We start from the raw sequence: 23,726 nt of genomic DNA, 5'->3' as shown, positions 1-23,726 counted from the left end.
ACATTTCAAAAAATTGTGTAAGTACTTAATGCCATAGAACTATACACTTAAAATTCATTATACTTAATAAACTGTATGTTATGTACATTGAACCACATAAAACTGTTTTTAAAAACCTGGTCCTCCTCCTTCAGTGCCCAAGTTAGTAAACAGCACTACTACCCATGGTGGATGTGACAGAAATGTATGACTCATCCTTTCCCCCACCCTTTCTCCCAGCACACTGAACCTAATCAGTCCCAGAGTCTGAGAGATTATTAATCATCTCTCACAACCTGTGTCCAGCAGCCTCCTCACAGTTCCCTATATCCACAATGGCCCCCTCCAACTCCTGCTCCATCAGACAGCCAGAGTGAGTTTCAGGAAACGGCAGCCATATCACATACTGCCCCACTACAGCCCTTCAAACACTTCCCTCTGCTCTAAGGATGACCCCAAAATATGTCCCCTGATCTGCAAGGCCCTACCCAACCTGGCCCCTAATGATCTTGCCAGCCCTTCAGTCCTCCGTCCTTTCTCCACTTGGCTCCTTCACCACCAAGCTCTGCCACCCACTTACCTGATTTCTGCTTCCCTTTCGGGTCTGAGCTCTAACGTCACATCCTCTAGGAAGCCTTCCTTGACCCTTACCCCACAGTTTCTCAAGCTTGCCACTGTTGGCATTTTGGATCCGATAATTAATTGTTCGATGGTGGGGTGGAACTGTCCTGTGCCTTTGTAGGATGTTCAGCAGCACCCCTGACTCTAGATGTCAGTAGCACCCTCTGCCAAACCAGCCCCTGGGATAACCAAAAAGTATCCAGACAGCAACAAACGTTCCCTGGGGTGCAAGATGGCTCCCTGTTGAGATCCATCTCCCCAGTCTAGGCAAAAGCCATCTATCTCCCTGCAGCATGTTCTCACAGCATCCTGAACATCTCTTCCACAGCATTTGGCACAGACACGATTCATTCTGTAGTCATTACTGCTTAACATCACCTTGCCTTTCGGGCTGCAAGCTCCCCAAGGGTAGAGACAGACTAGATCTGTCTTGTTCCTGCAATATCACGATGCCTGACACACAGTAGGTACCCACATTACTCTGAATAAATGAGAGGCTTTGGGCAGTTTTTCTTTTTAACACTATTTTTAAATTGACATTCTTCTAGTAGTTCAAGTCAACGCCTACGTTAAATCAGGTTTCTTTGGGAGTTGCTTAGTGACTAGAACTTTGAAATCATGGTAGTAAGGAAGAACTTCCTCAATAGGTCTGATGAACCCTTGAAACTCACAACTTTTCCTTTATCATGGAAAAGATGAGATTAACCTATGGGGACTCCCATATATTGTTCTTAAGAAGTAATCTGTGCAAAGCCAAAGATGGATCACACATAATGCTACAAGAGGAAAAACAGAACATTTGCAAATTTTCTCTAAGTAGTACCTTTATGCCTAAAAATTATGCTTGCTTGCTTGCTTCATAATGAGTCTAGTAAAACACACCAAAAAAACCTGGCTCCAAAAGAGCCAATTATAAGGAAGTGCTCAAATACCGAGCCCACAATGTTTGTCCCGCAGGAAGTTACCAAAGGGGTCAAAGCACCTCCTTCGAATTCACACTGCTATTTGAAACAGATGCTCTCCCTCCCTCCCACTGGCTTAGCTGTTGGCTACTGGCAAACTCCCCTGGGTCAAGTCCATGACCTGGGGAGCCATGCCAACTCGGAGGTCCTGGACTACCTGGATGACAAAGAATCCATCCAGAAGATTAAAATCTGTGCCAGTAATATCTGCATACTGCTTAAGAAATAAAGAGAAGGTTTTAAGAATCAAAAAACACAAAACAACCTGGAATTAGGTCTGACTCTTGGTGTCCTAAAATTTCTGACTCATTGCAATGAAAGGAATCTGGGCAAGACCTGGCTCAGAATGAAAAACCATCCCCAATTTTGGCAGGTGCTAAGAAATACAAAGTTGGCTCACACAGGGAAGTGACAGACAGGCATGTGAAAAATAAAAGCTAATACCTATTATTTTATCAATATCATTGGTTCGAATAAGCTTCTTCTATCAATTAGGATTAGGTTTGGCAATAGGATTAGGTTTGGCTGCATATAATCTCATGCAATACAAGTCTGCAAACAGGAAATGCAGAGCTGACATGATGCTCCACATCCATCTGGCATCCAGGCTTCTTCTATCTTTCTCTTCTACCATCCTTACTACTGGCTTCCATCTTCAAGGTCACCTCATGGTCACAAGATGGCCACCATGGCTCCATCCCTCAGATCCACTTAATAGGCAATGGGAAGGAGGATAACACAGAGCAAAAAGGCCTGCATCCCAGCTGAGTCAGCCACCTTGAATGAGCTTTACCAGGAGCCCCACCAAACAATCTCTAAAGATATCTCTGTAGAGCACTAGCTGCCCCTATATGCAAAGGCCACTGAGAAATGTCTCACAGTGCTGCTGCCACCGCTGCCACCACCACCCCACCATCCTTCCCCCCAACCCAGATTATATTAGTTTTGTTAGGAAAACAAGGGCTAAAGGGTTACTTCGCAGGTGGCTGTCAATCTCTGCTACAACGGGATCAGTATGTTAAAACTGTAAGAGGTGGCAAAGTGCTAGTATTCTATCCAGTCCATTCGCCCTGTTCATATGAGAAAACTGAAGCTCAAAGCCACTAAAAGCCACACAGCTAACAAATGGTAACCTGGAGGCCTGACTCAATCTTCTCATTCTGAAACTGGTGCCAGACTTTAGAACCAAAGTTGCAGTGAACCGTGTCTGTATATGCATGTGGGTTTAAAAGAAATTTTCTATATTGACTTTTCTCTAAAAATATAAACAAATATGCTCTAGTTTGTGGGGAAACTAAACTATATAGTCAGGCCAATCTTATATGGGAATATTTAAGGTATTTATAAACTATCAAGATTGTTCACATGTGACAGAACGCCTGTCACATTCTGTTTCAGCAAGATTCCAAGAACATCGTAAGTGGGGACATCTTTATACGTGTCGGTGCCCTTCCCCTAAATCGAAGCAGAGCTCCATAAAAGGTATTCATGATTCACTTCAGACCTCGAAGAATACAGCCTCCCGTCTGTGCCAACCCATGAAAGCCAGTTCCCAAAGGCCAAATGTCTCACAGGGACCTTTTAATGCATTTTATGTCTTATTTATTGTGCTTATCTGACAACTTCACAAGGCTAATAGACATCTCTAAAAATGTGTTGACATCTTAGTGCATTCTGAATGTCCTTCAGTGTATTATCAAATTTGGACAGTGCAAATATTCCCCTGGGGGTAATAAAAAATAGACACAGCAATACAAATGTGCATTTCAGCCCATATGTTGTATATATTATATACAAATATTATACCCCCAGTACAGCATTATAAAGTGCAGTGCTATAAATAGAATACCAATTTCAGCTACCACCCACCCATTTGGTTAGTTGCAAAACATCCAGGCAACAAGCCAACTGATGCAGCCAGGAGTCACCCAGTCGCTTTCCCAAACCTCCAACCTCCCTTTCTCCCAGGGCTGCCACCCAGCAATGCCCTTCTTCCACTGAAGCCGATTCCAGCCAAATTCAGTCGCTCCCCAAGACCAACTACAGCCTTCTCTGCCGGAGGTGCCCTAATATTTTTAATTACACTGCTGCCTAATTAATCATGCATGTAAACAATTACCAACTAATCTTGCTCTTTTCCCACACTTACTGAGCGCCTATAGAAATGCCAGAAGTACACAAATGCAGCAAATTAATCCTTATTCAGAGAGCTTAAATACAAATAAAAACAGGCTGTCAAGGTTCCGGTGGGCTAACAAGAGCAGTGCGCAATAACGCTACGTCTTTTCCTAAACTGCACCATTCTGCCATTACTAAAAAATCTGAAATCATTGCCTTTTCACACCAGCAAGTCTGGGTTAGAGGACAAAAACTCTGTAGCAGTCTGAAAAAAAAATAATTTTTCGCTCAAGCTTTCAAAGTTGAACAAATCTGATCATGAAAGTCAATTACAAGGCTGCTTTTTTTTTTTTTTTAACTTTTATCACATCGTTTTAAGATAAAGGGGGGAAATGCCCTTGCGAGGAGAAAAGAAATAAAAAAGAATGGGCATTACAGCAGCAGGAGACCGGGCAAGCACTGCTCTGCTCGCAGACGTGTCCCCTGATGTCCCCAGCGGAGACCCGAGACAGGAGCAAGCCTCCCCGCCGCGCCAGCTCCCGCGGAGGCCCAGCGGGCGCCCCTGTCCTCCTCCGGGTCGGAATCCGGGAAGGGCTGGCGCCGAGCTGGCCGCTTATCCTCAGGGGCCAGGGCACGTCCCGAAGGCCCTGCGGAGGGGCGCGCGGACACCGGGACCGCAGTCCTCGCCCCCGGGGGTCGAACAGGAGCCGCGGGGCCTCGAGGGCCGCCTCGCCGGCTCCCGTCCAGCCTCCCGCCCGGCGCGGGGCGCGCAGGACGGCGGAGCGCGGGCGGAAGGCAGGGGGGCGGGACCGCCGCCGCCGCCACTCGCGCTGTTGCAAAGTTTCTTCGGTGGCACAGTTCCTGCGCGCTTCCTGTGGGGGCGGCTGCTGCGCCCTCGCCGCCCCGTCGCCCGCCGGTTCGGGGCGGCAGAGGCTGGGAGACGCGAGTCTGGGGCCGGGGCGGCAGCGGGGACCCAAGACCGAAAGGGGCCGAGCGGGCACGCCTCGGGTCCCGGGCCCGGGTCCCACCTGGGCGCCGCGAGAGGGCGCTGCTGACGGCGCGGCGCGGCGGGGACCGGACGGCGGGACGCGCGCGCCGGCGGGGCAGGGCTGGGCCGCCCTGCGCCTCCCTCCCCGCGCCGACCGGGGCACGGGCGACTGTGCCCGCGAACCCCACGCCTCGCCCTTGCGCGCCTGGCCGCCCGCTACTTACCCAGGGAGCAGGTGAGGAGCGCGAGCAGCGCCGGCGGCGCGAGCAGCCACCAGCAGGCGGGCGGCCGCATCCTGGCGGCGGAGGCTGAGCGCCCTACCTGGGCGCGGGGAAGGGAGACGCGCGGGGAGCGGAGCTGCGCCGCTGCCGCCGCCGCCCTGCCGCCGCGGCTGACCCTTCTCTGCCGGCTCCCCTCCTCCCTCCGTCTCCGCCGCGCCATCGCCGGCCGCGCCCTCTGGCGGCCGGGAGCGGGAGCACCCCTGTGCGCGCTTCCAGCGTCTGCCGGGCTGGCGGCTGCGGCTGGTGTCCGGCCCGACGGGCTGCTGCGGTAGAGGTGGCCGCGGCTCTGCCCTCACGGCGCCCTCCTTCGAGGCGTCTGACCTCTGCCCCCTCCAGCCACCAGCCTCCACCCCTCCTCTTCCTTTCTCCTCTGCGTCCCTCCTGACCTAGGCCGCGTCCCCTGCCTTCATGCCCTCCCACCTTACCGCGTCACCCCCATCAGTAGTTCTACCTGTGAAGTGGAAGCGAGCAGTAATCACTTTTCCTCCCTGCTAATGTATTATCTGCTGTGGAAAAAAAAATGTAATCAATAGTTCAACTCTTAATATTGTTGGCACCAATGCTCTACTTTGATGAAGGTGTTTTTAATCAGCTCAACTAATTTACTTAATATCCCCTTTAAATGGAATTTGGCCAATAGCCTAGGTCTGGGATTTGGCTTTTAAACAAGTTTGTGTAAATGTAATTTTCTATAAATGTAATTTTAAGTGTTCACCATAATGGAAGAGAGTGGGTGTAATTTTATTCAAAATATAAAAATTAATTAAACTGGAATACAGAGAAGTGGAGCAATGTGGGAGTGCCTCCTGTTCCCGCAGGACTGCGAAGGGCTTTCCTCCCCAGCCCGGTAGAGTGGTGGCCCTGATAGGGGACTGGTCCTGTTGTGTTGTGTGGTGCACTGAAGGGGAAAGCATTACAAGTAAGAACTAGAGGCTCCCTTCAGTGGTTCTGAACTCCTTCGTGCCTCCCTCAAGCCTTGGCTCACTTCTGTTTCCAAGGAAGTGCACAGGACCAAGTGCTTTTCCCAGCCCTAGTTTAGCCCATGACCTCTTGAAGGCAGTTTCTATGTTTTCCTTCATATTTACTCATTTGTTGGATACCTACTATGTGACTGCAACTCTGCTAAGCACCCTAGGAATGCCAGTATCTTTCACATGGACATACAACATTCACCTACTTGCTAAACATTTAAGGAGGAGGAGGCCCTGGGAGTACAAGTAGGATGGCCCTGGGAATACAAGTAGGATGTCCTGGAGACAGAGAAGCAGGTGCTGAATAAACATTTGTAGGCTTGAGCCCTCTTAACTTGAATGCGTTTAGGGGACTTAGGCTCTAATGCATTAGGACAGTATTGTCTGCAATTGTGCAATACCTGCTGGGATTGTTTTGAAAAGGAGGCCTGGAGACAAAGAATTTTCTCTCTGTGTGGTTTATATTGACTTCTTAAAACTGGGAACTAAATATTTCACGTGTGATCCATTTAGTGTGAGTGCAAATAGTTCCCTTTTGTTCCATTCGCCCAAGGTTTATGGTCTCTTGTCAATACCATTTTGATGGGAGGAAAAAGAAATGTAGGGATCCTTCCATTTCATTTCTTAGTGAAGCATTTCAAATCTATGGTTGACTGAATTCATTGCTTTTATCCTTGGGAAATTCTCAAGCTTACCTGCCTAGTAGTTCTAGATTGTTTCCAATTTCCAAAGCTGTTTTCGCTTTTTTCCAAGAAAATATTCCTTGCATATGTGGGGTAGTAAACATTTAACCAAACTGTTTAATTAGACACAGAAGACTAATAAGCAGGGTCAAATGCCTACTCCACGTGGGTAAGCAACTCCTGGTGCTTAATCAATGTTTTCATGGAAATTCATCATGTTAGAGTATTACTATGTTCCAGAACAAGGTGTGGAAAATTAAGCCCTAAGGACAACAGAGAACACACCGTTTAAGTAATAAACTTGCCCTGGTGTCCTTCCTTTCCACAGTAGACATAGATAAATGGCACATTACAAAGCTCCATAACTCACATTTTAAAAAGAATTGCCTTTCACTTACTCTAGTCATATGATAAATGGACTTGCTGGGAGTTCTCTCTCCCAATCACATGTCAGGAGAGTTTCCTAGAGCAACGTACTGATGAGGATACTAACAGATACATGATAGGCACTGCTTGCCTATAACATTGACTGTAAAGGAACAACTCTAAGTAGAAAAAAAATAAATCCTATAAACTTTAAGATTGTGATATGAAAACAAGCAAGCCATCTTCTTGGGATTTACTCAATCCCAGCTGTCACCTCCATGCTGGCCCCTGAAACTTTCTTTGTTGAGGGACAGGGGAAGAAGCAAGGAGCCATCTTTTGTTGGGGAAGGCACTGTCGCAACCTGGTTAAAACAGACTGGTAATTTTACAGATAATTTTCTAAATACTAAAGGAGAACATAAAGACATACTAAAACCACTGAGAGCCAAATAATCTAATGAACAAGTTCCAAACAGATGGTTTCTGATCTTACAACAGTTATCCTTGAGGCCCAAAAGGCTGAACTCCATTCATTCAAATGATAGGGAGCACCTCTAGCTGATGTGCCCTTTGCTAAGCTCTGGGGCAGATATTAAAGAGCATAAAACATGGTCCTGGGCCCAAGAACTCACGGTCCAGTTTGGGAGACAAAAATGTTCATAACTAACTTTGCTACCTTCTTATAAATGCTATGGCATGCGTAGATCAGCACACTTTGGAACACACAGGGAAAAAAAAATCTCTCAGGGCCTTTGGAATCTGTAAGAAAAGAAGCGACTGTTGCACAGGATCTTAAAGGAGAAATAGCAGGTTCCTGAGCTGAGAAAGGAGGACAGGCGCCCCAGGCTGAGGCACAGCACGAATGTGCAAATCAACAGTAGTGTGGCGGGTGGGGAGAGGGGCTGCAAGGAGGAACAGCTTCTCACTGTGCCCCCTCCAGCCTGCTGCCTCTCTCCTGTGACTTGGAAGGGGCCTCCCAGGCACCCTGTTTCTATACTAGCAAAGCCCAAAGGGCATATTCCAACTCTTCCCACTCTCGGTGCCCTTTCACTCAGTGTCAGGCCTAAAGTGGATTAGCAGTCAACACAATTCAGGAGGACTATTCTCTTCCTGCATAAAACAGCAGGTTTATGAATTATGAGTGGTCTTGAGGATTATTTTCCAAACCTAAAATCAGGTCTTAAGGTTTAATAGTAAAATAGAATGTCTAAAACAGGGTCTCCGGGACTTAAGGTCATTATAATATCAGACCTATGCTACAGTACTTTAATCATCTGCTCACCATCCTCACACCCCACAATCAGTGCACACTAGGGGGTTACAGGAGAAAGACTCATCACTTGTACCTTACGCTTTAGCGTTTTGGGAAGGAAGATAATCTATGATCCCCGTGGAGAAGAGGGAGACAGGAAGAGAAGAGAGGGAGCAAAACTTTCATCACTCAGAGAGGACCCAGAGCCACAGCCCCACTGCATGTACTCAGGAAGAATCCTTTGATGACATACGGTGGTTTCTTTAATGCCCTCAGGGAGCTTGTCTCACATTGCTTCCAAAGCTATTCAAAAATTATAGGCAAGGCCAGGTGCAGTGGCTCACACCTGTAATCCCAGCATTTTGGGAGGCTGAGGCGGGTGGATCATTTGAGGTCAGGCATTCAAGATCAGCCTGGCCAATGTAGTGAAAGCCCATCTGTACTAAAAATATAAAAATTAGCTGGGCATGGTGGCGCACGCCTGTAATCCCAGCTAATCAGGAGGGGGAGGCAGGAGAATCGTTTGAACTGGGGAGGTAGAGGTTTCAGTGAGCCGAGATCACGCCACTGCACTCCAGCCTGGGCGACAGAGTGAGATTCTGTCTGGAAAAAAAAAAATATATATATATATATATATATTTAGGCAAAACCCATTCTGTCAAACCAAACTTTCAACCAAGATTTTTATTCAAAGAAGCTTAACAAAGGGATTCTCACAGCCTAACAACCCTGAACCAAAATCCAGGAAATATAACAGGTTACCATCTCAGCAGACCCCCCAGGAAAGCCCAGAAATCTGAAGCCATTGACATTTGAAGACACAGAGTGATATAAAGCCTGTCTACAAGAAAGCTATCCTAGAAACTTCTAATCAGAAATAGATGATCTACTTGGCTGTTTCGCTCTCCTTTGTAGAATCACATATCCTTCTGTTCCCAGTAAAGATCAGGAATCACTCATAGCAGGCATGACAGGAAGTGTCTGCATTTGACTTTCACTAAGAACAGAAGGCGTGGGGCATGACTGTTCAGCAGCCCACACAAAATGTGTTGGTGTTTTTGGTGCTGTTGCTAATAAGTAGTTGTTCATTTTACAACAGCTGCTTTCAGATGTAGGATCTTGCTTAATAAGCTCAACAAAAATTTTATGTGTTTGTGACGAATGTATCACGGACTAACTGCATGTATGAGGCCCTCATATGGCATGCTGAGTTTGGAGGAAAATGCATTTTCCTGGGGGAGATCACAGTCTAGTTAGGAGGACCAGGACATACAGAAATAGCCATAAACCCTCCTGGAACATGGAAATCCCCTAAGAAGCGTACGAACAAGGGCAAGGAGAAGGAAAGCACATTCATCAGTGGGGCTGCATGGGGCCTCACCGAGATGGCGCGGTTGCCAAGAGAGAAGGGGAGAAGGCATTCCAAGCAGAGGAGACAAGCAAGAAATGCCATGGAAGACCGAGAGTTCAGAGACTGAGGAGCTGTTTAGTTTGGCCAGCACGAGGGAACATGGAGGGGAGGCTGGTTAGGACCGTACCGAGCAGGGGCTTGGGCACCGTGCTAGGAGAATGGCCTTCCCTTGAGTGGGGCAATGAGCAGTGGATAGATGGAAGGATGTTTCAGCAGGTGATGACCAAAACCTCCACTACAAGACTGTAGCTCGTAAGGCCTACCTGGTGTCCTAACTCGGCAACCCCTATCAGAAAAATAATGAATATTTCAATTGTGATGAATTCACATGATGAACACTCAGTTCACGTGAGTTGGGTACTGATTTAATGATTGATCAGTGCTGTGAGAAGTTTAATTCAGTGTTAATGTTGTGGATGGATTAGAGAGGGGAAAGAAAGAAAAAAGACTGGCTAGAAAAAATTATGAGGAAAGGGGAAATGAAGGAAAACTAACATGTATGTACTGAACACATGCAGTAGCTAGGCACTCTGCCAGTTACTTTCTTTTTTTTTTTTTTTTTTTTGAGACGGAGTCTCGCTCTGTCGCCCAGGCTGGAGTGCAGTGGCGGGATCTCGGCTCACTGCAAGCTCCGCCTCCCGGGTTCACGCCATTCTCCTGCCTCAGCCTCCCAAGTAGCTGGGACTACAGGCGCCCGCCACTACGCCCGGCTAATTTTTTGTATTTTTAGTAGAGACGGGGTTTCACCGTTTTAGCCGGGATGGTCTCGATCTCCTGACCTCGTGATCCGCCCGCCTCGGCCTCCCAAGTTACTTTCAAATATATTATTTCAGTTAACCCCACACCAAAAAAAGAAAAACCTATGACAGGACTACTGTTCCCACTTTACAAGATTAGTAAACTGAGTCTCAGGCAGGTCAAATACCAACAGCCAGAACTGCCTTTAATGGAAACCCTGTTATTTAACGGAGGTAGTAGCAACAGGAATAGAAGGGAAAGGATTGCTGTGAGGGCACAACAGAGGGTCAGATCAATTATACTTGCGAGTGAGTCGATGCTGGAGCAAAGAGAGAGGCCACAGAGGAGACAAATGAGGCAATTAACTAAAACGGAGATCTGCCAGAGGAATGAGTTTGTGGAGAAAAAGGAAAGATGATCATTACTGCTAGTGTAAGTGACAGCAATGCCCTCACATTATCAATAGATGCATAGTAATAGCTAATCTTTACTGAAATGCTTGTTATATACCATGCACTATACTAAGTGCTATACGTACTTTATTTCATGTTGAATAATATTTAGTTTTCCAAACAGCTTTATGACTATCATTCTTACTTTAGGGAGATTAAGTAGCTTGCCTAAGGACAGCGATTCTCTTAGGGGTCCCTGACACTCAGGGTATCCAGGTTTACAAGGTCAAAACTACTTTTATAGCAATACTAACACATTACTTGCTTTTATGCGTGTGTATTTCCACCAATAGTGCAAAAGCAATCATGGATAAAAGTGCTATCTACTGCTGTAGCACTAGTCAAGGTAGTGGCACCAAACTATGCTTACAGTGGGAAAACAAAATAAGCCAAGTTCACTTACAAGGTCCTTGATGAAGCAGTAAAAATTACTAAGTTTATTAAATTACACCCTTGAGTATTCATCTTTGTAATATTTTGTGTAACGAGTTGAGGGGTAAGCATAAAAGTACTTCTACGTATTAAAGCATGATGTCTCAAGAAAAAACACTTGTGAGATTGCTTGAGTTGCAAGCTGAACTAGCTGCATTTTTCATGTAACGCCATGTTTAATTGACTAAAAAATTGACAAACTTATTCAGGTTATTCAGGTTTAGGGGCTGGGTATTTTCTCAAAAAAAGAGCTTGTCACTTTAAGGAAAACAACTGATGTAATTTGTTTACATTAATACAAATCAACCTTCCAAGTGAAATTAGAATTTTGGAAAACTTGTATGTGCTGCCATGAGTTTAACAGCTTCCCCATCCTTAAAGACTTTTTAATGAGATCAATGGTGGTGTTCACAAATTTGATTTTAAAATATTGTGTAATGAAATGTCTCAACCCTTGGAAGATCTGCATACTTTGAAGAAACAGTATTTTCCAAATGACCCTTTTTCAACTACGTATCTGTGTGAGGCTGCATTTTCTTCCTTTACGTCATCCAAAATAAATAAAATGAAGAAACAAATTATGAGAATCTACCTGTCTTCTATTAAGCTAGACATTACAAGGATCTGCAAAAATGTAAAACAATGATACACTTCGCATGAAGTTTTTTGTTTGGAAAATGTATTTTTCATAAAAACAACATATTAACATATGATAGGGTTATTATTGTTCATTTAAAATGAATTAATACATATGTTTAAATTTCTGTTTTAATTCTAATACAGTAAATATTCACAGATGTAACCGACATAAACGAATGCTCTTTGCAGTCCTCAATTTTTCAGAATGTAAAGGGATCCTGAGACCACAAAGTTTGAAAACTGCCAGCTTAGGACGCATAATTTGTACATTGTGGAAGCCAGCACAAAAATCCTGATCAACCTAACTCCAAAATCCTTTCTCTTACCCACTGCACTTGGTTACTCCCTGTTTAGTTTTAGATCTGCTGTATTTGAGGTGCCAGATTTCTAAGAAGCCAACTCGGGCTCAAAGTCACCTTTTACCCCCAATCATTAGAGATTTAAAATAATAAGTATGAGATGGGCAAGGTTATGCCATGGTAACAAACAACCCAACATTTTCAGTGGCTTAACGTAACAAAGGCTTTCTAAGTCATGCCAAGTCATGCCAAGCCTGCTGCAGTGCGGGCGACCCTCCAGGCCAGCTGTTCCCCATTGTTAGTGCTCTAGTCTGGCCACATCTCAACTCAAGTTCTCCACAATCGTTGTTGCCGGGGAAGGGTGTGCTGGAGAGCCAAGCACCAGCAATCCAGTGCTCCCAGTGAAAGTGTCACAAGTCACTTCTGCTCATGTTTCATTGAAGGGGGAGAAAGTACTGTCCCAGAATAGAGGAGAGCTGGGTATTGGCAGTGGTTACCGGTTGAAGGTGTCCAGGTTCTTGGTGTTTTGAACAAAGAATTGGGCAAAACGCACAAATAAAGCAAGGAAAGAATGGTGCAACAAAAGCAGAGATTTATTGAAAACAGAAGTACACACTCCACAGAGTGGGAGTGGCCTGAGCATAGGGGCTCAAGAGCCCAGTTCCAGAATTTTCTGGGGTTTAAATACCCTCTAAAGGTTCCCATTGGTCACTTAATGTACACCCTATGCAAATGAAGTAGTGGTCCGCAATCAGAGGGTTAAGTGAAAGTACAAAAGTTACACCCTATGCAAACGTCTGATTGGTTGTGGAAAGCAACCAATCAGAGGCTAAAGTGAAGGTACAAAGTTACACTTCTATGCACACAAAGACTTGACCCGCAATCAGTCTGACTGGTTGAGGAAAGCAACCAATCGGGCTGAAGCAAAGTTACAAAGTTACACTCCTATGCAAACTGATTGGTTGTGGAAAGCAACCAATCATTGATACTTTCAATTTTCCATCTACCACACAGAAAAGGGGGTGGGGGTTTGCAAAAGGAGTAGTCTCAGGTCCTTTTATTACTTAGATGTGGAAAGTTGGGGTTTTCCTTTTGATTTAGTTCTAGGAAGTTAGCATGAATCGGCCTTAGGTTCCCTGCCTCCAGACCCTATTCTCATGTCTCAGTGGCACTGCACTGCCAATAATCCTCCCCTTGCTCTACACTTCCAAGCTAAAACACCTCATCTTCTGCTTTGAAAAGATGCTGTGCTAGATGCTAGAGCATGAAACAAGGCTGAGAATTCAGCTTCTGCCCTTCAGGAACTCACAAAATCTCTGAAAAGATAAAACTACAAATAATGTTATCTTACTTTAGTACAGCTCTTTACCACCTACCAAGTAACCACACAAATAATTACTGAACAGGGCAGTTATAGGAGAGGTCCAGATGAATTGAACAGTTTGGAGTGTGCTTGGTGAAGGAAAACTCTGACATGGATGATTGAGGATGGTTTCAGGGAGAAGGTGGGATTTCAATAGAGGTCATGAAATGAGGGAAGACTCCAAACTAGTAGAAATAGAAAAGGGGGAAAATGAAGAAGACATGAAGTCAGTGAAGCAAGCGATATTTGCAGGATGGCAAGTAGACCAATGTGGCCACAGTTCATCATGTCAGGAACAGTATTGCTAGCACACAAAGATGGGGTGAGAAGACAGGAAAGCTGTCTGGAGAGGCCAGTAGCAAGCCCAGCAATGGGGCACTGGCCTTGGGGAGGACCCAAGTCCCAGCCGAGGAAGAAAGGGTATGGCTGACCAGATCCACTGGAAAGGAGGCCACCAGGGCCCTGAGGACTTCTGGTCATCTACTGGAAGAATGTTAGGCATAGAAATACATACATCATTTATTTTACTTGAAGAAGCTAGGACCAAAACATGCTTTATGTCTTTTTTTCCCAAAAAAAAATTTCCCAACTGCAATAACAATAAAATAGCTGTGGCATAATTGTTTTACACAAATGAAAATATAATTTTCAGAAATAGCATTTTACTAGCATTAAGTCAAACGGATGTTGGAGTTATCTTGTTTAAATTAAATTGTCATGTTCTTTGGCTCTACAGAGTAGGCAAGTCTTGTTTCCATTTCCCTGCTGTGTACATTGACACCTACTTTGGGAGAAACATGAGATTAAAAGAGAGGAAAGCGGGAAACCCCAAATTTTGAGATGCATGTGTTTTGTGCTCTCAGGGAAGCTGCATGATTCATTGAAGGACCTTGGGGAACCAACTGACAATAGGAAGAAACTGAAGTAGGGCAGTGGTAATAGAAGAGAAGATACTGCAAGATGAAACATTACAGGTGTAGAATTTAAGGGACCTTTGAATGATTGGAATCAACGTATTCTTCTATTATCCCACTAGATAACAACCCTTAGTTTATTCAAATGTTTGAAGTTAACTTTAGACTATACAATGTTAGAACAAGTAACGAAGTTGTGGCAAGACTCTTGTCACCTTAAATGGCAACTTTACAAAGCTGTACTTTCTTCTGTAGTCAGTGGGAACCATTGTGTGTTGAGAGACTGACACTCATTTAAGTAGCCCACTAAGAAGAGACTAAGGGCAGAGTCCAGCATGTACTGGCAAGAGTCTAGACAGATGATAGTGAGACTTGCTTGAAGACACTTGCAATAGTCTAGACATAATAAGGAAATGAACTAGAGTGGTGGCTACAGAATTAGCAAAATAAGGTGGATGAAGGATATATCAAAAAGACTTAGGATTAACCAGACTGAACTAAAAAAATGATTCTGAAGTTTGGAATCTGAATGGCTAAGTACCATGGTTAGAGAAGTCAGAGAGAAGAGCTTGTTAATTGAAAAGATCTGGTTTTCCATTTTGGACAAATTGCATTTGAAGTGAAGGTGAACCATCTGCAAAGAAATGTTCAGTAATCAGGTAGACACAAAGACTGGAGCTTAGAGAATAGTTATCAACTAAAATACAGATGTGAAGTGACCCACAAAAGAATGAGAAGAGAAACAGGAGTTATTCAGTATAGAGAGAGAGTGGCGATTGTCATAACACCAAGTTGGGGACATCACCTTGGGAGCTGTTCAGTTTTTTTCCTCTTGACACCAAACTCCGTGTCTTTTCCAACACTACTTCTCCAACTCTCTGACACCAACTGGGTGTCCAACAATTCAATTCAATTCTGACACTATGTACCTGAAATCAGCATCACATCTCACAGGTTAAAGGGCTCAGTCCCATAAGACTGACCCCACTTCAGATGCTACTCACAAGTCTGGGGCACTTCTACTTCTGTTCTCACGACCTACTCCTCAAATTCAATAATTTGCTAGAAAGGCTCATGGAGCTCAGGAAGGCACGTTATTTATGTTTACTGGTTTATTATGAAGAATACTATTAAACATAAAAATGAGCAGCCAGATGAAGAGGTACATAGAGTGAGGTCCAGAAGAGTCCTGAGCATTGGAGCTTCTGTCCCTTGGAGTTGGGCTGTGCCACCCTTCCAGCACATAGATGTGTTTGCCAACTCAGAAGTTCTCCAAATCCAATCACTTAGAGTTTTTTGTTTTTATTTTTGTTTTTGAGACGGAGTTTCACTCTTGTAGCCCAGGCTGGAGTGCAATGGTGTGATCTCAGCTCACTGCAACCTACCCCTCCTGGGTTCAAGCGGTTCTTCTGCTTCAGCCTCCTGGATGGGCAGCTGGAACTACAGGCGCATACCACCACGCCCAGCTAATTTTTTGTCTTTTTGGTAGAGACACAGTTTTGCCATATTAGCCAGGCTGGTCTCAAACTCCTGACCTCAGATGATCCGCCTGCCTCTGCCTCCCAAAGTGCTGGGATTACAGATGCGAGACGCCGCACTGGCCTATTTAGGGGTTTTAATGGAGGTTTCACCACATAGGCACAATTGACTAAATAATTGGCCATTGCTGATTAACTCAATCTTTAGCAGCTCCTCCCATCCCCCCAGAGGTTATTGGGGGTGGGGCTGGAACTTCCAAGCTTCTAATCAAGGCATGGTCTTTCTGGCAACCAGCCCTCATCCTGAGGCTATCCAGGAGCCCACTGAGACAATTAGAACAAAAGAAGCTCTTGTCACCTCTATCAGTTGAAGTTTCAAGGGTTTTAGCAGCTCTGTGCTAGGAACCAGGGACAAAGACCAGACATCTTTTTATGGTATCACAAGGGCCATTGTCCTGAGGAAGAGAAGCTAGTGGCAAAACAGAGAGGAGGGAACCACATTAGACAGTGTCATGGAAACAACACAGACGTGTTTCAGAAAGGGACAGAAAGTGAAGAACATTTAGCTTTCTTTTTGACTCTCCAGCATCTGAGCCCCTTTGCTATGTTTGGGGAATTTCTCACCTATTAGGTAAAGCCTGATTACTTTCCCAGCCTCCCTTGCAGCTAGGATGCAGGGGTACAACCTGGACTCTGCCCATCAGCACCTGTGCCTCAGGCTCTGCGTAAGAAGCGAGGGATGCTGCAGGATACACGACAGTGAATGGTAGCAGCAGTGACAGGTGCAGGTAGCATTGGTGCCTCCCACAGTGTAAGCAGCAGCATCCAGGGCTGGCAGCAGATTCCCTGGATCCATCTCTGGCATGATTTTCGGACTTATTCTTGGCTTTCTAGCCTCCTCAACTGATTCCCTGCCCATCCACCAAGACCACCCCATTCCCCTACATTATTTGAGACACCTAATATTTTTCTCTTACTTTTCTACCTAAATCAGCCACAGTTATTTCTGTTGCTTGCAACCAAGACCCACAAACAGTATGGAAAGACTGTCAACAATGTCAAGTACTGCAGGTTGTCCAAGAAGGCACTTGGTTGCATGATCTGGATATTTGTGATTTTAGGCAGTTGTCTAGTAATAAGAATAAAATATCACTAGGAGTAGAAAAGAGAGTGAATCCAAAGATAACGCTTATCTGACCCTATGTCTGAGATCAACACTGTGCTAACCAACAATATGGATTTGGTTATAGACTGCAGGAGGACTCATTATGGGCCAGTTGTTAAAAATATGAGGGCTTCTCATTCTCAGGGCTACATTTTGTATGCTAAGGAGTTTTTTTATTCTTCTTCTTTCTTCCTCCAACAGAGGCAGGCCCACGCTTAGCATTATAACTAAGAAGAAATCCCACAGATTTGTCCAATGGGGCCTTGGAAAGATCTGATTATCCAGAAAACCACCATATCCTTTTCTTTCCCCCCACTCTTCTCCTTCACTTTATGGAGTAAACCTGAGTCTTGAACTTAGCACCCTAAGCTCTTCACCCTCTGGGCTCAACCTTTCTACCATCGGTTCTGCCTCTCTCTTCCCTCACTTGTCCCAAGGTGCATCAATGCTCTCCTGGGCCATACCACATTTTGTAAAAGTCTTTTCTTCTTTCAGCCATATAAGGAAACACTGCAATGTTTTCCTTTTTTTTTTTTTTTTTTTTTTTTTTTTTTGAGACTGAGTCTTGCTCTGTTGCCTAGGCTGGAGTGCAATGGCACCATCTCAGCTCACTGCAACCTCCGCCTCCCAGGTTCAAGCAATTCTCCTGCCTCAGCCTGCCTCCTGAGTAGCTGGGATTATAGGCCCACACCACCATGCCCAGCTAATTTTTGTAGTTTTTTAGTAGAGACGGGGTTTCACCATGTTGGCCAGGCTGGTCTCAAACTCCTGACCTTGTGATCTGCCCTCCACTGCCTCCCAAAGTGCTGAGATTACAGGCATAAGCCACCGCACCCGGCCGCAATGTTTTCCTTCTAACTAGTATTCCCACCTCTGACAATTGTTCTGCCTGGAGAAATCACAGGTCCCCCTGTAAGATTCAGGTGGAATATCTCTTATTCAGGAAAGTCATCTTGAGTCCTCCACACCTTGGATCAAATGACAGTGTCCCTGTTTCTGTTCACTTTTATCAGAGCTCCCTACACAGGTAGCTATGCACCATATCTGCCTATATCTAATTATAAATTGTATGTGTGCTGCTACCACACATAGTACCAATCATGTATATTAAAATACACAAATACAGAACAAATTAAAGGATGAGATAAAAAATGTTAGGGCAAGTTTTTATATTTTTTTCTTCCCATATCTCCTATGGGAAGATGTCCCAAGACATCCATAGATTGTCTTGTCTCCACCGCCAACCCCAGCCCAGGGTGCACACATTTCATCCATATTTCTATCACGTTCATAGCATCAATCACATTCTATTACAATTCTATTGTGATACCCTGTCCAGTTTGTCATTGCATCTGCACAGTACCTGACACAAAGGTCAGGTACTTATAGTGCTGAAATAATTACCTTATATAACATTAGAAATAGTTTTTTGTTTGTTTGTTTGTTTGTTTGTTTGTTTTTAAGGCAGAGCCTCCCTCTCTTGCCCAGGCTGGAGTGCAATCTCTGCTCACTGTAACCTCCACCTCCTGGGTTCAAGTGATTCTCCAGCCTCAGCCTCCCGAGTAGCTGGGATTACAGATGTGCAACACCATGCCCAGCTAATTTTTGTATTTTTAGTAGAAATGGGGTTTCACTATGTTGGCCAGGCTGGTCTCAAACTCCTGAGCTCAGATGATCCACCCACCTCAGCCTCCCAAAGTGCTGGGATTACAGATGTGAGCCACCTCGCCCGGCCCTTAGAAATAGTTTTTTAAAATAGATAGTTTTGAGTTCCCATCATTTTCTAAGTAATGACGGATTGCAGAAGTTGGTATTTTGACTGACTTATCTGAATAACTGCAGTTTCAAAGTCAAGTGAATTCCTTTCCTTCATTTAAACAGTCCTGACACGTGTGCTCGGTTAGGTTTCCTCTTCAGTCGGTCACGGATTGATGCCTTAGAGCACAAATGAATGACAATCCAATCCATAGTCTAGGGCTATTTTAAAAATCCAGACATGGGTTTGTTTATTAAATGAAGTATTTGGATGTTACCATCTCAGCTAGGACTGGGTCATTAATTTGCAAATGTGAAAGTCTTCCCCCAAACAAGCCAAAAACCCAATTATTCATGCAGGTCTTGAATCAGAGAAGAGAGAGAGAGAGGAAAAAAAAAAAAACCAAAAGGAATATACTTTAAACAGTCACAATTCCCATTTCTGAAAATTCTATTCAGTTTGGGCATTCAAGCTTCAGTGCTTTTTCTTATGAGAATTATCTGACTGTGAAGTACTTGTAGAAAATAGAATCATTTAAAAACACTGTTATATTGTGGTCCTCCACAACTTTCTGCCCAGTTGTTTAAACTGTATTGCTGATAGCAGAGCTACGTAGGCAACGATATATAATGTGTTAATAATTAGGCATGTGAGTCCAATGAGGACAGCCATATTCGCTTGCTCACCATGTGACTGCCTGGGGGAGGCAGCTGGGTGGATGTGTCTTGGCTCTACGCTGTGCTCTATAGCTTCATTACTCAGCATCCCTGCAATTAATCCTCAAAGCAAAACCTCTTTTTTTTTTTTAATTTGAAAAAAGAGTAATTTGAAATAGGTCTCTAAAGCGTCTTAACTGAGCACTTATTCTTTATTTTGTTCCCTGTTTACTTCTCCCTCAAGACAACATTAAATTTCTGCTAAGGGCTACTTGGTAACAATAATATGGGTGAATACACAAGCACGCTGTCTGTTTGGAATGCTGCTTTTGTTTGGGAAACTGATTGATGTAGACTGTGTATAGTCAAAGGAGTCCAGGTTTGCACTGGGGTTTGGGGTAATCAGACGACTCATTCAATCTTCCCTCTGGGGGTTTATTCCTAAGTGTCACACAACCAAGGAACAGTAGCTAAATACTGCTTGATCAATAACTAGGAAGGCCCCATTGTCAGATGAATAGTTAAGCTGAATAAATATGGTGGAGGTCAGGAGGCTTGAGTGAAGTCTCTTGCTCTTTATTCCTTCCCTTCCAAATCTTACATGGCTGGGTCTACACGCAGAGCGAGTCCACCTATCCAGGCAGTCAAATAATCAGGAATGATGCACTGCCTTGGAGCAAGGCCCTGTGGAGGCCGGAAGTCAAACAGGACAATGTCACCTGTTAGTCCTGATCTTTAGGACAAGTAGCGGAGCACAGGCCCAGGAAGGTCTTAAACCTAACCAATCAGGCCAGCAGGCCCCACTTCTGTGAGAATGGTCATCACGTGGATATTCAGTTCTGCGATTTACTTGGGTTTCCTAAATTGTGTGGGTTTGATGTTGTGTTACATAACAGGTTGTCGTAACAAATGACCCCCATACTCTCAGAGGCTTACATAATACGGATGTGTTTCTCTCTTACCCTACATCACCATCAAGGGCCAGGTGCAGTTCTCCTCATGTCACTTTGACTCTAGGACCCAGGATGACATAGCAGCCTCTTTCTGAGACTTTAAAAGTTGCTAAGGGGAAGGGAGAAAACGCAGCAAATTACGTATCATTTTTGCTCCATTTCATTGGCCATAGTAAGTTGCATGACCACATGTGAGTTCAATAGCAAGGGGGTGTTAACATCCTTTTATAGAAAAGGTCACCACAAGCACGCCACTGCATATGGATAAACAGCATTACATCTAATGGGTGCTGTTGCATTCTTACCTTCTATGTTGACCCCAAGAACTTCAGAAAGTGAGACACAAAAGAGACCTGGAAATGAAGAAATGCAACCATGGAAGTGTTTTGGGCTAGGTTATGCTTCATTGTCAAGTAAATCTTTGAAAAAGAGGCTTATTTTTTGCTCACAGGACATGTTCATCTCAGGCAGTCAGGACCTCGGCTTCTCAGAGACACAGGCCTCCGCCTGCACCATCTGCAACATGGTGGAGCCAAGGCAGGTAAAGAGAACATAATTGCACACTGCCTTAAAGACTTTCACCAAGAGGTAACACAGGACGTTTCTATTCATCTTCTAGTGACCGAAGGACATCACATAGCCATGCACAAATTTAAATGGAAAGTGCTACCACACAACGTTCCTGGAAGGAGAACAAAAGTATAAGTGAAATGAAGGAGTTATATATACATATTTTTTGAGACAGGGTCTGGCTCTGTCATCCAGGCTGGAGTGCAGTGGTGTGGAGTGCAGGTGGTGGTCTCAGCCTGGACTCCCAGGCTCAAGCAAACCTCCCGCTTCAGCACCCCAAATGACTGGGACTACAGGCGTGTGCCACTATGCCTGGCCAACTTTTGTTTTTTTTTGGAGAGACGGGGGGTTTTGCCATGTTGCCCAGGCTGGTCTGGAACTCCTGAGCTCAAGTGATCTGCCAGCCTCAGCCTCCCAAAGTGCTGGTGACAGGTGACAGCGTGCTGGCAGTCCTCACAGCTCTCGCTCGCTCTCGGGGCCTCCTCTGCCTGGGCTCCCACTTTGGCGGCACTTGAGGAGCCATTCAGCCCGCCGCTGCACTGTGGGAGCCCCTTTCTGGGCTGGCCAAGGCCGGAGCTGGCTCCCTCAGCTTGCGGGGAGGTGTGGAGGGAGAGGCGTGGGCGGGAACTGGGGCTGCGCACGGTGCTTGCGGGCCAGCGCCAGTTCGGGGTGGGTGTGGGCTTGGCGGGCCCCGCACTCGGAGCGGCAGGCCGGCCCCACTGGCCAGGCAGTGAGGGGCTTAGCACCTGGGCTAGCAGCTGCTGTGCTCAATCTCTCGCCAGGCCTTAGCTGCCTTCCGCCGGGGCAGGGCTTGGGACAGGCAGCCCGCCATGCCTGAGCCTCCCCGCCCGCTCCATGGGCTCCTGTGCCACCCGAGCCTCCCCGACGAGCACCGCCCCCTGCTCCACAGCGCCCAGTCCCATCGACCACCCAAGGGCTTAGGAGTGCGGGCACATGGCACGGGACTGGCAGGCAGCTCCACCTGCAGCCCTGGTGAGGGATCCACTGGGTGAAGCCAGCTGGGCTCCTGAGTCTGAGGGGGACATGGTGAACCTTTATGTCTAGCTAAGGGGTTGTAAATACACCAATCGGCACTCTATATCTAGCTCAAGGTTTGTAAACACACCAGTCAGCACCCTGTGTCTAGCTCAGGGTTTGTGAATGCACCAATCGACACTCTGTATCTAGCTACTCTGGTGGGGACTTGGAGAACCTTTGTGTCCACACTCTGTATCTAGCTAATTTGGTGGGGACGTGGATAACCTTTGTGTCTAGCTCAGGGATTGTAAACGCACCAATCAGTGCCCTGTCAAAACAGACCACTCAGCTCTACCAATCAGCAGGATGTGGGTGGGGCCAGATAAGATAATAAAAGCAGGCTGCCCGAGCCAGCAGTGGCAACCCACTCGGGTCCCCTTCCTCATTGTGGAAGCTTTGTTCTTTCCCTTTTTGCAATAAATCTTGCTACTGCTCACTCTTTGGGTCCACACTGCCTTTATGAGCTGTAACACTCACCGCGAACATCTGCAGCTTCACTCCTGAGGCCAGAAGGACTACGAACCCACCGGGAGGAACAATTCCAGACGTGCCACCTGAAGAGCTGTAACACTCACCCGCGAAGGTGCGCAGCTTCACTCCTGAGCCAGCGAGACCACGAACCCCACCAGAAGGAAGAAACCCCAAACACATCCGAACATCAGAAGGAACAAACTCCAGACACGCCGCCTTTAAGAACTGTAACACTCACCGTGAGGGTCCGCAGCTTCATTCTTGAAGTCAGTGAGACCAAGAACCCACCAATTCCGGACACACTGGGATTACAGGCATGAGCCACCACGCCCAGCCTTGCAGGAGTTACATTAATTGAAGTGGCTAATAGCTCAGTCTGGGCCATTAAATCAAGAATCCAGACTACCAGGCACCTGAGACTCTGGCTAGACTGCACAGAATAGGGGAGAATGGAAAAAGTACATCATTTGTATGTCTCTTCCACTTTAATTTTTTCTGTGAGAAAAAAATCAAAACCCATAAAGTTAAAATATCATATGTGACACAAAGTCACATACAAAGCATTGTATTACTTGGACTAGATTCATACCGGTGCTCTATATAAACCTGCCAGGAAAACATAGTTGGGCATCAAAATGGTTTACTGATGACCTCTCAGCCTGCTGCAGAGTGGGACCCCGAGTATGACAATGAACACCTTGTCTTGATCCACCTTAGAGGCCTCTGGAGCCATATCTAAGAGACATTCATAAAGGCCTCGAGGGTCTCAAATGCCCACTTTACTGATTTGGGAGGGTGGAAGCAGCACAGAAAGGATGGGGAGGGCAATTCTGTAAAGGGCCAGGGCCAGGGCCAGGGCCAACGTCTCTTTTAGGCATGGCGGGCACAGTGCCTAGGGTTCATAATTCTTTTAGTGGCTCCTGACAATATGTTCTTTTTAAATCAGAAAAAAGGCCAGGCGTGGTGGTTCACACCTATAATCCCAGCACTTTGGGAGGCCAAAGCAGGCGGATCACCTGAGGTCGAGAGTTCGAGACCAGCCTGACCAACACAGAGAAACCCCGTCTCAACTAAAAATACAAAATTAGCTGGGCATGGTGGCGCATGCCTGTAATCCCAGCTACTCGGGAGGCTGAGATAGGAGAATTGCTTGAACATGGGAGGCAGAGG

General features: G+C 45.7%; 1 protein-coding gene across 3 annotated transcripts in view, besides 3 other annotated features; it reads right to left on the bottom strand.

Moving 5' to 3' along the window:
* Positions 1-5,072, bottom strand: part of B3GLCT (beta 3-glucosyltransferase) — a 132,302-nt gene extending 127,230 nt beyond the window's left edge. For all 3 annotated transcript variants that reach the window (NM_194318.4, XM_011534936.2, XM_047430111.1), the window contains exon 1: positions 4,893-5,072. In NM_194318.4, coding sequence (NP_919299.3) covers positions 4,893-4,962 — 70 coding nt within the window. In that variant the 5' untranslated portion in view covers positions 4,963-5,072. The remainder of the gene's footprint in view (positions 1-4,892) is intronic.
* Positions 4,112-4,361: a silencer, noted in NCBI's record as "silent region_5241". NCBI's record gives its function as "represses an Ori minimal core promoter by ATAC-STARR-seq in GM12878 lymphoblastoid cells {active_cell/tissue: GM12878}" and the evidence as "EXISTENCE:reporter gene assay evidence [ECO:0000049][PMID:35858748]".
* Positions 4,422-5,321: a silencer, noted in NCBI's record as "silent region_5240". NCBI's record gives its function as "represses an Ori minimal core promoter by ATAC-STARR-seq in GM12878 lymphoblastoid cells {active_cell/tissue: GM12878}" and the evidence as "EXISTENCE:reporter gene assay evidence [ECO:0000049][PMID:35858748]".
* Positions 5,372-5,431: a silencer, noted in NCBI's record as "silent region_5239". NCBI's record gives its function as "represses an Ori minimal core promoter by ATAC-STARR-seq in GM12878 lymphoblastoid cells {active_cell/tissue: GM12878}" and the evidence as "EXISTENCE:reporter gene assay evidence [ECO:0000049][PMID:35858748]".

The sequence above is a fragment of the Homo sapiens genome, chromosome 13 (genome assembly GCF_000001405.40).
Source record: "Homo sapiens chromosome 13, GRCh38.p14 Primary Assembly".
In the NCBI taxonomy this organism is placed as follows: Eukaryota; Metazoa; Chordata; class Mammalia; order Primates; family Hominidae; genus Homo; species Homo sapiens.
Note: the sequence above shows the minus strand (reverse complement) of the source record. Positions and strands in the feature narration are given on the sequence as shown.